The following is a 13,816-nucleotide window of genomic DNA, read 5'->3' on the forward strand; positions in this document are numbered from 1 at the left end:
TGGTTTTGTGTTCTTTTCCTAAATGGCTACAGACTGCTTTGATTTTCTAGTGTTTTTTCTTGCCTCTTTTCCTCATACTCCTCTACATGAAATCTGCATTGCTGCTTCTAATTTGCTGTGGTTACTTCCAGAGTAAGTTCTTCTATAGAACTCTTAAGGTCATAAAAGAAAATCAAACAATCAAATGTATTATGCAAAGAATATTAACTTTATAGATGGCAATAGGTATTAAGAAGCTCTGAGCTAAAGATGGCTATACATCTTTACTACAAGAAAAGTACATGAATTGTATGATAGTCCTTATCTATAGGCCTTTCTCTCTAACTCTGAAGATCATAAATTGGTTTTGGTAGTTCACACCTTTCAAAAGACTGATATTAGATACATGAGGAAATTTAATAATCTCTAAATTTAAGATAAGCATAAGAAAATACTCCACAAAATGAAAGTATACCCAGTTGGAAAATTAAATTGAAAATCAAAGTGACTATTTATTATTTATTTGAGACAGAGACTCACTCTGTCACCCAGGCTGGAGTGCAATATTGCAATCTTGGCTCACTGCAACCTCCACCTCCCGGGTTCAAGTGATTCTCTTGCCTCAGCCTCCCAAATAGCTGGGATTACAGGCCCACACGACCACGCCCAGCTAATTTTTGTATTTTTAGTAGAGATGGGGTTTTGCCATGTTGGCCAGGCTGGTCTCGAGCTCCTGAGCTCAAATGATCCGCCCACCCCAGCTTCCCAAAGTGCTGGGATTCTAGGTATGAGCCAGCATGCCTGGCCAAAATGACATATTTAAAAAATAGTTAAGGACTAAAGAATTCAGGCAGTTGATTCTTTTACAGGCTAAAATAAAAAAAAATGCCCAATCTCATTTGTAAAACACAGAAACATAAATGTATACAAATCAATAACATTACTCATTTGATAAATAGACAATTTTTAAGTAAATAATAATAGTGGGTGGTATTTAACACACAGAGAAATGGATGTACTTTCACATACTATTGACAGCACTATAAACTATTTGGAAATCAGGCAGTATACAATATAACCTTTTGAATTCCACTTATAGAAATTTATTTTAGGGAAATAATTGTAGATATGTACAAAGATAAGAGGTGTGATTACAACAACAAAAATTACAGCGGAAAGGCATGACAATAGAAAAAGATTTGTAAAAAGATTATGATAAGCAGCTCAATGGAATATGTAGTTATTTATGATGATATAAAGAGAATATGTGACAATGACAAAGTGCTATTTTCATCACAGTATTGTAATAATGGCATTTGCAATAATGTCGTAATATATATTGAATAGAAAAGGTTATAAAGAGTATACATAAAATCTTATTTTGGTAAAAAGTTATGTATATGCAAAGGTTATATAAAGAGTAATATAACAAATGATTATTTCTTATTTTTACCTGCGTTTCAACATTTTCTGTAGAGATATTTTTTATAAGAAAAAATTGGTTACATATATTCAAAAATAGCAAGTGAGAAAAAGAGGTCCGAAAAACTTCTACCAGAAAGTGCATATGAATATCTCTTAATGTTTTTATATACAAATTAGGCAATATAGCACCTCTGTCTATTTAAGATATATTGCTTAAACTTAGTGTGATACTAAAAATGGAAGTCAGGTTGGGTAGTGGGAAAGAGCAATAGTGCATGAGGGTATATAAAGGGACTTTTTGCTCAAGTAAAAGACTCTATAAAAAAAATCCTGAACAGGAAGCCAATGAAATAGTCTTTATCCTAGTTGTACTCTCAATTGCAATTTATTTGCTCAGAAGATGGAGGTTTTTGTTGGATGTGTGTTTGTGTCTGTGTTAAGAGATTAAAACTCAATATTATGGTTTATAAAAGAAAAACAATAATACATGTTATCGAATGGATAATATTTTCCACTTGAGGACCATACTTGCCTTTGGGTTGTTTGCATCAAACAGACCAGTTGAAAGTCCAATCAGCAAGGAATTCTTGTTTTTATTTTTTGGTGGTAAATGCGAGTGAGATCGAAATGCAAAGGATTCTTCTGGTGAACACTGAACTGATTGAACTTGAGGGACTAAGTTCAAGTGTTCAGAATGAACCACCTTATGGAAAAATGGTTCCGGTTGCACAGACTTATCTACATCACATTTAGAGTGCTGAGAATCATTGGTTCCAGGCTCTGTGGTAGAAAGGAGAGATTATGTGGTAAGTCTATACAGTACTTAAAGTTCTAAATGATATTGATAAGGCACAGTATGTAACACAAATTCTAGCAAAAAACCCACATATCAGGAAAATAAAATCAAAATATGTGTGTCAGTATATTACCTTCTGAATAATCTTTAATAGGATACAATGTTCTATCTTCAGAGAGTTGATTTAATTTGTTATGTACTTTCATTATATTGAAAGTTCTACAATACAGACACAAGGGTGGGCATGGTGGCTAATGCCTGTAATCCCAGCCCCTCAGGAGGCCAAAGTGGGAGGATTGCTTGAGGCCAGGAGTTTGAAACCAGCCTGAGCAACTAAGTGAGACTCTCTCTCCACAAAAAATAAAATAAAATTAGCCAAGGTGGAGGATTGCTTGAGGCCAGGAGTTTGAAACCAGCCTGAGCAACTAAGTGAGACTACGTCTCCACAAAAAATAAAATTAGCTGGGTGTAGTAGCGCATGCCTATAGTCCCAGCTACTCTGGAGGATGAGGTGAGGGTTGTTTGAGCCCAGGAGTTCGAGGCTGCAGTGAGTTATCATCGCGCCACTGCACTCCAGCCTGGGCAACAGAGTGAGACCCTGTCTCTCAAGAAAAACAAACAAAATGAAAAAAAAAAAAAGACATAAATCCAAAGAAAGGTGAAAAAATACACTATTTAGATACATATTTAGCTCCAGTTTATCTTTGTTCCTATAGGTTAGATGAAAACAATTATTTTTTCTTTTCTTTTTAAGAAATAGGTCTTGGTCTATTGCCCAGGCTGGAGTGCAGTCTTGGCCTCAAGCAATCCTCTCACCTCAGTCTCCTGAGTAGATGAGACTACAGGCATGCCACCATGCCTGGCTAATTTAAAAAATTTTTTGTAGAGATGGAGTAGCGCTATGTTGTCCAGGCTGGTCTCAAACTTCTGGCCTCAAGTGATCCTCCCACCTCAGCCTCCCAAAGTGCTGGGATTACAGGTGTAAGCCATTACACCCAGCCTACCTTTCTTACATTTTAACTAATACTATTTTAAAAAGAAAACAATTTATTTAATGTCCTTAGTACACTGGCTTAGCTTTGGCAAGTAATTCTTTTCATTTTTAATATTCAATAAAAATAACTGACCAAAAACTTTCACTGCCATGTTGCCATACAATCCAGGCTTATTAATGTAGTCCAGTGTGCTATGCCTATTATATTTTTTAAATGATTGAGATGACTGATAAGGAATGCTTTCTTATTTATATATTACCCAAATAAAACAGGTTGATGTTAATAATCATTAACATCTTCCAGAAAGTAATTAGACTAATGCAATGATGCTTACCTATATGAATGTCACTAAGTTGGTCCACAGTACTCGAGACTCCATCTTCAGAAACTTCATTTTCCTGAATGGTGATCCTATCTGCCGACCTGCCACAGATGGGTACACCAATTAAAAACACACACACTTAGTTTACCAGAAATAAAAGTGCTCTAAAATACAGGAAATGGAACACAAGTTCACTAGCATTCTTTGATCCCTCTTCCAAGTATTTTTCTCACTTTCATATATACTTTCTCACATAAGTACAATGTATTTTTCACCCTGTTCAAATCCTCACCAAATAGTAATCATTCACAGCAACCAGGCTCACCATGTTTTATAACAATGGTTCTCAAAGTACAGTCCCCAAACAACGGCATAGTAAAGAAACTGGTTAGAAATACAAATTCTCAGCCTCACCCTTGACCTGTGAATCAGAAACTTTGGGGGATAACGCCCAGCAATTAGTTGGGAAAAGTCCCGAAGTCATTCTAATACATGCTAATGTTTGAGAACCACTACTTTAAAGAATGGGAATGCCCCTTAAGAGTGGAGAATATAAAACAATTACAATATATTAATACCATGGAATATCATGCAGCTGTTAAAAAATGAAGCAGAGATCTATATAAACTGATTAGAATAGGCAAGATATACTGTTAAGTAAACAAAGTGATTCACAGACCAATTTGTATTAAATGGTGTTAGGTTTTGAAAAAATGGTTTGTAGCACAGAAAAATAGAATAAGATTCACAAAAATATTTTAACCCTCAAAGGGAGGGGATTAAGATTGAGGAAAAAAAAATAAAAAAGAACTCACAATTTTTATCTCTATATGCCTGGGAATTAAATTCATGCATTTTTTTTAAACAAAAATTTAAAGACTGGAAGAATATATTCCAAAAGTACCAGTAATTTATCTCTGGGAGTTAGCTTATAGGTAAGTTTTTATTTTCTAAATACTTTTAAATTGGTTTCAAATTTTATTTTATCTTTTAAATTTATTTATTTATTTTGAGATGGAGTCTCACTGTGTTGCCCAGGCTGGAGTGCAGTGGCACGATCTCGGCTCACTGCAACCTCTGCCTCCTGGGTTCACTCCATTCTCCTGCCTCAGCCTCCCGAGTAGCTGGGACTACAGGAGCCCGCCACCATGCCCGGCTAATTTTTTATATTTTTAGTAGAGACAGAGTTTCATCGTGTTAGCCAGGATGGTCTCGATCTCCTGACCTTGAGATCCGCCCGCCTCGGCCTCCCAAAGTGCTGGGATTACAGGCATGAGCCACTGCGCCCGGCCTGTTTCAAATTTTAAATAATTTTCTACTTTCTCATTTTCAGATTTTCAACCATTTTCTGCTTTTATTTTATTTTATTTTATTTATTTTTGAGAGAGTCTCACTCTGCCACCCAGGCTGGAGTGCAGTGGCACAATCTTGGCTCACTGCCGCCTCCTCCTCCCAGGTTCAAGCAATTCTTATGACTTAGCCTCCCAAGTAGGTAGGGTGACAGGCACATGCCACTGCACCCAGCTAATTTTTGTATTTTTCAGTAGAGATGGGGTTTTGCCATGTTGGCCAGGTTGGTCTCAAACTCCTGACCTCAGGTGATCCACCCGCCTCGGCCTCCCAAAGTGCTGGAATTACAGGCATAAGCCACCATGTCCAGCCTCTGTTTTTTATTTTTTAAGCTTATATATATATTTATTTTAAGAGACAGGGTCTTGCTCTGTTGCCCAGTCTGGAGTGCAGTGGAATAATCATGGCTCACCTCACTGCAGCCTTGATCTCCTGTGCTCATGTGATCCTCCCACCTCAGTCTCCCAAGTAGCTGGGATTACAGGCACATGCAACCATGCCTGGCTTTTTTTTTTTTCTGTAGAGGTGGGGTCTTGCTATGTTGCCCAGGCTGGTATCAAACTCCTGACCTCAAATAACTCTCCCACCTTGGCTTCCCAAAGTGCTGGGATTACAGGCATGAGCCACTTTCCCCAGTCAAGCAACATATTTATTCATTCAAAATATAATGTCCCTTGGTTCCTCAAAAAGGTAAACTGAACTACCATATGATGCCACAATTCCACTCCAAGGTATATACCCAAAGGAACTGAAAGCAAAGACTCAAACAGATACTGTGTGTCAATGTTCTTTGCAGCACTCTTCCAATAGCCAGATGGTGGAAACAACCTACGTGCCCATCAACTGATGAATTATAAAAATATATGGGATATATATATATATATATATAATGGAATATTATTCAGCCATAAAAAGAAATGAAGAAGTGGCATATCCTACAACATGGATGAAAAACTAAAAACAGTATGTTAAGTAAAAGAAGCCAGAAACAAAAGGCTATATACTATATGATTCTGTAAGAAAAATCCAGTATTGCTAAATCCACAGAGACAGAAAGCAGATTAGTGGCTGCCAGAGGTTGGTGGGGAGGGAAAAAACGGGGGATGATTGCTTAACAGATAGAGAGGTGGGTGATGAAAATGTTCTGGAACTATATAGTGGTGATGGTTGTACACCACTGTGAATTTCTAAATGTAATTGACTTGTACAATTTTAAATGGTGAATTTTACGTTATGTGAATTTTATTCCAATAAAAAAGTTAAGTTCCTTTCAGGACTCCTAACTACTCGAATTCCAGTTGCCTTTCCTATTATTAGTTTGGTGCACACCTTACGAGATTTTTCCTTTAAATTTACATGCTAATCTAATCTATGGAGATGGTTTTTTCATTCAATATTATTTTATTCCATTAATCAATGTTTTAGACATCTTTCCATATTAATAAAGAGTCCCCTTTATTCTTTTAGGTGCTGTATTATATTCCATTAATGCTTTAGAGTTGACCCTTGAACAACATGGGTCTGAACTTCATGCATCTACTTAGATGCAATTTTTTTTTCAACCAAATGTGGATTGAAAATACTGTATTCGTGGGATGCAAACCCGTGTACACAGAGGGCTGGCTTTTCATATATATGGATTCCACAGAACCCACTGTGGGACTTGAGTATATGTAGATTTTGGTATACGAAGGATACTGGAACCAATCCCTCAAATATACTAAAGGATGGCTGTATACAGAAACACAGCAGTATTTTTAGCTATCTCCTTATTAATGCTTATTTAGACTGTTGCAAATTATTGGCTGTGACTCTCCTGGAATGAATATTCCTGCATTTGCTTCTTTGTGCTCATGTATGAAGGATCTGAAGAGTAGATACCAAAAGTAAAAGAGGTATATTATAGGATGTGCACATTTAAAACGTTAAAAAAACTGTCAAATGGATCTCTAAACTGGCTCTACCATTTCATATATGTATTTGCAGTCCATCAAAGAACCATAGTCCCAATCCCTCACATACATTTGATATGTCATTTCTCTTCCCCATTGCTTCATGTTATTTTATGGAAAAACAATCAGTGGAAAATACATCTTTTCCACTGATGTGGAAAAGGACTCTTGCCCTGCCTTTTACTCACTCTTCTTTGAGGAGGAGTAAGTATCTGACTAGCAGTGACATTCACAGGACCCTAGTTCTCCACTAAGTTAGTCTCTCAAACACTTACCATCTGTCATTTTATCGATGCCCTGTAACTCCTAAAGTATCATACTGTTGTATTTACTATCTGGATTTCTTCCTTCATGAATAGCCTATTCATCACCTTTCCCCATTTTTCCCTTGGACTTCTGTCTTTTTCTTATTAATTTATACACATTCTTTATAAATTCTGGATATTAATTTTTATGTTAGGCTGCCTCCTTTAAAAATTTTTTATTTAGGTCTTTAATCAATCTGGTATTGTTTTGTTGAATGATTTCAGAAATGGAAATGATTATTTTATTTCTTCCAAATTGTGATTTATTTGTCCCAAAAGCAGGTATTAAATAGGTTATCTTTTTATGTTGATTAGAAATCTTTACCATTTATTAAATTTCCACACACATATCAAACACCGGTTTTCTATTATTCCTATAATATGTAAAAATGATTTAAAAAATAGAAAACACTCTCTCTGCCTTTAAGGAGCTTTTTTTGTTTTTGTTTTTGTTTTATTTTTGACAGAGTCTCACTCTGTCACCTAGGCTGGAGTACAGTGGCGCAATCTTGGCTCACCGCAACCTCTACCATTGGTTCAAGTGATTCTCATGCCTCAGCCACACAGGTAGCTGGAATGACAGGTGTGCACACAACCACACCTGGCTAATTTATTTGTATTTTTAGTAGGAACAGGGTTTCGCCATGTTGGCCACACTGGTCTCGAACTCCTGGCCTCAAGAGATCTGCCTACCTCAGCCTCTCAAAGTGCTGGGATTACAGGTGTAAGCCACTGGGCACATACTGCTAAGCAAAAGGGGCCAATCTAAAGACTTCATACTATATAACTAGATGACATTCTGGAAAAGGCAAAACTATGGAGACAATAAAAAGGTCAGTGGCTGCCAGGGATTGTGGGGTGCAAAGAAGACAGGATAAACAGGTGAAGCACAGAGGATTGTACAGTATCATAGGAATAATAGTGTAATGTGAATCCATGTCATTACACATTTGTCAAAACTTGTAGAATGTACCAAATAGTGAACCCTAATGTAAACTATAAACTTTAAGTTAATAGTAATGTGTCAATATTGGCTCATCAGTTGTAACAAATGAAATACATTAATGCAAGATGTTAAAAATATCACTTGTCAGGAATAAGAAAAAAAAAATTGTTGGGGGTGGGGAGTGAGAGGTATCTAATAAGTCTATAATTTTTGCTCATTTTTTTGTAAACTAAAATTGCTTACAGAAATCTATTAGTTAAAAAAACCAATACAGCCAATACAGCAAAAGACTAAAAAGAATATACAAATAAAATAAAAATGACAACAAAATTCAACTATTATATCATATCAAAGATATAGCATACTTCTGTAAATTAACTAGATATTTAAATACAAAAATTTCAGATTGAATCACGAACGATATCAGAAACATAATAAAATAATTCAGAAAAGCTGAAAACAGAAGGATGAGCCAATGCAGATTGGGAAAATATAAATAAAAAGATAAAACTTAGTCAAAAATATTAAGCAAGACTAAAACAATGATATTTTATAATGCTATAATGTGTAATTTACCACAAGAGTATTATACTTGTGAATATCTATGCACCAAATAACTTAGGAGCAACATTCATTAGATAAAAATCACTTGAAATATAAAATGAAATAAATGGAAACACATTAGTAGGAAGAAGCCTTCACTCATTTCAATGAAGTGAATAAAAATTGTTAAGTATATAGAAAACCTAAATAAAAAACCTGATAACCGATACATAACAATGCCAAAATATTTTATAATTTATTAATTAAAAGTATGTACTAGCTTACTGTAGACAGACTAATAGGAAAAAATGTATACAAACAGACTCAAATCTATAAACCATGATAAATTCCACAGATTTACATGTAAAAAAATCAAATATTTAAATGTATAAAGCATCAAATAAAAGTCCTAGAATGCTGGCCAGGCACAGTCTCATGTCAGTAATCCCAGCTCTTTGGGAGGCCAAGGCGGGAGGATTGTTTCAGGCCAGGAGTTTGAGATCAACCTGGGCACCAAAATTAGACTCCGTCTCCACCAAAATAAAAAAAAAAGAAAGAAAAAAAATACTAGAAAAACTGAAAAAAAATTTGGTAATCTTAGAAAGAACAAGGCTGTTCTGAGTAACTATCAAAGCTCAGATAAATATGATAACAATAAAAGATAAACAAAAATAAACTATATACTTCAGCATGGCAAAACCACACACACACACACACACAAAACATAAATGACCAGCAGAGAAAAAATAGTTGCAATTCATGTAACCACCAGGGCAAATATCTCTCACTTTTAAGAGTTTTTACTAATTTATAAAAGACCAACGACTAAATTAAAAAAAAAAGGGGGGGACCAAAGATATAAAGAGAAAATTCACAGACAAGGAAGTTCAAATGAAACTTACATTTGAAAAGATGTGCTTACCTTTACCTATCATAAGAGCTAGACAAACTAACAGCCCAAACAGATATACTATTTTTTACCTTGTTAGATTGGAAAAACTCAAAAAGTTTGATGAGAAAAGTTTAGCAAGGCTGTGGAGAAAATGGGGTTCAGACATTCTTTCTGAAAGTGTAAACCAGTACAACCTCCAGGAGAACAATAACCAAATTACAAATGCAACTTATAAAAATGCAGTTGACCAAGCAATTATACTTATTACAGATATATACACATACGAAAGTCACTTTATATAAAAAGTTATTCATTGCAGCATCATTTGTAATGTCAATCAATGTCCAGCAGGTAGGAAACTTGTTGAGTTGTGGTATTCTACATAATGGAATACTAACTAGCTATAAAATAAGAAAAAAAGAAAGCCCTTCATGTATTATTATTTAAAAAATTTCCCAGATTTATTATTGACCAAAAATAAACAAGGTGGAAAAATCTGTGTACACTATACTAACAAATGTAGTTAACTGTAAGGAGGAAGACAATATATTTATTTTTGCTTAAGCATATACTAGAAATATATGAAAGAAGACAAGAGTGGATGGGGACAGATGTAAGCAAGACTTTTTACTGCATATCATCATACTTTAATTAATTAATTAATTAATTAATTTGAGTTGGAGAGTCTGTTGCCCAGGCTGGCATGCAGTGGTGCCATCTCAGCTCACTGCAACCTCCACCTCCCAGGTTCAAGTGATTCTCCTGCCTCAGCCTCCTGAGTACCTGGGATTATAGGCACCCGCCGCCATGCCTGGCTAATTTTTGTAGAGATGGGGTTTTGCCATGTTGGCCAGGTTGGTCTCGAGCTCCTGTCCTCAGGTGATCCGTCCTCCTCGGCCTCCCAAAGTACTGGGAATACAGGTGTGAACCACCGTGCCTGGCCCACTTTATTTTTTGTGAGACAGTCTTGCTCTGTAGCCCAGGCTGGAGTGCAGTGGCATGATCTTGGCTCACTGCAATCTCTGCCTCCTGGATTCAAGCAATTCTTGTGCCTCAGTCTCTCAAGCAGCTGGGACTATAGGCACGTGCCACCATGCCTGGCTAATTTTTGTATTTTTAGTAGAGACAGAGTTTTGCCATGTTGGCCAGGCTGGTCTTGAACTCCTGCCCTCAAGTGATCTGCCCGCCTCAGTCTCCCAAATTGCTGGGATTACAGGTGTGAGCCACTGTGCCCGGCCTCTTCAAATATTTTATATACTTGTTTATTTCTGAACCATATGAATATCTATTCAAATTAAGTTCCTTTTATAAGGTATTACAATATTAGGATATTATGTTGCAATATTAGCTTATTATAGTATTTTCTTAAAAGTTATTACAAAAGGGACCTGGGTTTTAAAATGTCAGGAAAAGATGTACATACTGAGTTTCCTTTGTTTCTTTTTCCTCACTAATCCACACATCAGTAATAGTGCATGGCAAGCTCTCATCTTTGTTTGTTCCACTTGGCTCTTGTAGAATTTCTGTTTCCAAATCATCAGGTTCTGCAAAGGATAAACGTAACGAGAGACATCTCAAAGCAAAATTTGTCAAGAGAATATTGAATAAACTTGCTATAAATTATTGCTACCTAGTTTTAGGGTAATATATTCATTAAAACAGAAAAATTAAGTATTCTCTCTATAGGGTTTAACTCTTATTGTGAAGTCTTTAGTTCAGTTATTTCTGAAACGACAGACTACTTCTTTTGCCTTTTACTGTAATAAAAATGCTCAAAGGTAATATGGTATACTCTATATTTTTCACCATTATGTAAAATTTTCTCTTCAATTAAAATTTTAGTAATATGTAAATTCATTTAGGGAAGGTATAAAAACAGTTTAAAGAATAAAGATATTTGTGGTTAGAAATATGGAAGAATAGACTGTGATATTACTGATTAGTGACTAAAATAAAATTTCAATCTTCAAAATCTATCTTTTAATAGTCAAAAAAGAAAAACTATTACCAGGACTTTCACAATGATATTGAGAACATAATTGAATGGCACTAAAAATCTATTTTCTTAGACACTCAAATAGTTTTTTTTTTTTTTTTTTTTTTTGAGACAGGGTTTCACTCCCATCGCCCAGGCTGGAGTGCAGTGGTGTGCTCTTGGCTCACTCACTACAACCTACACCTCCCGGGCTCAAGTGATCCTCCTGCCTCAGCCTCCTGAGTAGCTGGAACTATAGGCACACACTACCACACCAGGCTAATTTTTGTATTTTTAGTAGAGATGGGGCTTCACCATGTTGGCCAGGCTGGTCTGAAACTCCCGACCTCAAGTGATCCACCTGCCTCAGCCTCTCAATGTGCTGGGATTACAGGCGTGAGCCACCACGCCTGGCCTGACCCTCAATTAACATCAAGATGTTACCTCTGTTTTCTGGCAGTGGCTCATTTTTCACCTGGCTAATATTTTCCAAAAGTGAACAGCGATGAGGAGAGTATTTGTTAACTTCTCTTTTTCCTTTCCAATTAAGATTATCAATAATATCCTGTTTAAGCCAACACTATCCCTCTTACTTCCCCTGGAATACAGACATACTTCTCCATTTTTAAAGCTTCCAATTATCTGTCTTATTTGGAAAGACAACTGATATTGTACTAATCTTTAAGTTTTTATCTTTTATTCAAATGATTATTTTGGTCATTCATTCAAGGTAAGCACTTGGGGGCAAAATCCTTTTTTATTTTTTAATGAATAATTCTGTTTCCTAGTACTTTAAGCTGTATCATTATCAACTTATTCTATAAACTTGACTTATGACTGCATTACCTGCAAAGCCTAGAATATTTATTCTCTGGTCTATCAACTCCTGCACTAGGCTATACAGCTTCCATAGTATGCCTAACACTATTTTCTTTTCTTTTTTAAAGAAAAGGCATAAGATACTGTTTTAGTTCAGGCTACTATAACAGAGTATCATAGACTGGGTGGTGTAAATAATAGAAACTTATTTCTCAGAGTTCTGGAGGCTGAAGGATCCAATGTCAGGGTGCCAGCACGGTTGGTTCTAGAGGGCCCTCTTCCTGTTTTGCAGATAACCTTTTCCTCCTTGTATCCGTATGTGGTAGAAAGCAGAAAGCTCTCTGGCCTATTCTTATAAGGGCACCAATCCCATTAATGAGGGCGCCACTCTCATAACCTAATTACTTTGCAAAGACTCCACTTCCAATACCATTACATCAGGGATTAGATTTCAACATATGATTTTTTTGGGGGGTAGGGAGGGGAACAAACTTTCGTTCCATAATGATACTAGTAACTATGTTCTAATGAATAAGATTATTTAAGTTACTGTGGTGAATTAAGGATGGTCACATTTTGCAGGGTTTCTGGTTTTCCTCTCAACTAGAGGGAGCTCTGTTTCTCCTCCTCTTTAATTTCAGCTGGCATGGTGATTCCCTTGAGTAATGGAAGACAGTGAAAGTGATGCTATGCCAGTTCCAGGCTGAGCCTTTAAGAGAACTGGGAACTTCTATTTGATATCTGGAAGCCCAAGCCATCATGAAAATAGTTTATTCTTAAAGACCACATTGCAATGCCATGAGACTAAAATGAAGGAGAGGGACCCGAATAAGCCCTGCCAATATGCCAGGCATGGGAGTGACGTCATTTTGCGTCTTCCAAAAAAGCCCAGCTGATGGCTGAATACCACTGAGCAATACCAGTTGATGCTACATGGAGCAGAAGAACCTCCAAATTCCTGACTCAAAAAATTGTGAGATAACATAAAATAAAAATAAAAATTGTTTTTTATTTTGGAGACAAGTTCTCACTCTGTCACCCAGGCTGGCATGCTCATGGCTCACTGCAGCCTCAAACTCTTGGGCTCAAGTGATTCTCCCACCTCAGCCTCCCTAGCAGCTGGGATTACAGGCATGCACCACCACATGTGACTAATTTTCATATTTTCAGTAGAGAAGGGGTATTGCCATGTTGCCCAGGCTGGTCTTGAACTCCTGGGCTCAAGCGATATGCCAGCCTTGGCTTCCCAAAGTGCCGGGATTACAGGTGTGAGCCACTGAGCCTGGCCTAAAATTGTTATTTTAAGCTACTAAGTTTTAGGAGTAATTTGTTTTGCAGCAATAGATAATTGAAGCAGAATTACATATCCGGAAGCAAGGAGCTGATGTAAAAGCCTATGTGCACTGGCTTTGGGACTGCGGAGCAGGCAGAAATTGGAAGGGCTTCAATGACATTGTTGGTGAGAGACTGGCAAGTGAAAAACAGTTACTGGAGGCTGAAGAAAAGGGGATTCTTGC

The 13,816-nt window shown here is 36.5% G+C and overlaps 1 protein-coding gene across 21 annotated transcripts in view; it reads right to left on the minus strand.

Annotated features, from left to right (window-relative positions):
- NEK1 (NIMA related kinase 1) overlaps positions 1–13,816 on the minus strand; it is a 219,775-nt gene that overhangs the window by 29,808 nt on the left and 176,151 nt on the right. For all 21 annotated transcript variants that reach the window (NR_164630.1, NM_001440625.1, NM_001440624.1 and 18 more), the window contains 3 exons: positions 10,929–11,049; positions 3,530–3,618; positions 1,937–2,184 (listed from right to left, as the gene is read on the minus strand). Coding sequence is in view for 20 of the 21 variants with exons in the window: in NM_001440625.1 (NP_001427554.1) it covers positions 1,937–2,184; positions 3,530–3,618; positions 10,929–11,049 (458 nt within the window). In the remaining variant the exon portion in view is untranslated. The remainder of the gene's footprint in view (positions 1–1,936; positions 2,185–3,529; positions 3,619–10,928; positions 11,050–13,816) is intronic.

This window comes from Homo sapiens, chromosome 4, assembly GCF_000001405.40.
Source record: "Homo sapiens chromosome 4, GRCh38.p14 Primary Assembly".
Classification (NCBI taxonomy): Eukaryota; Metazoa; Chordata; class Mammalia; order Primates; family Hominidae; genus Homo; species Homo sapiens.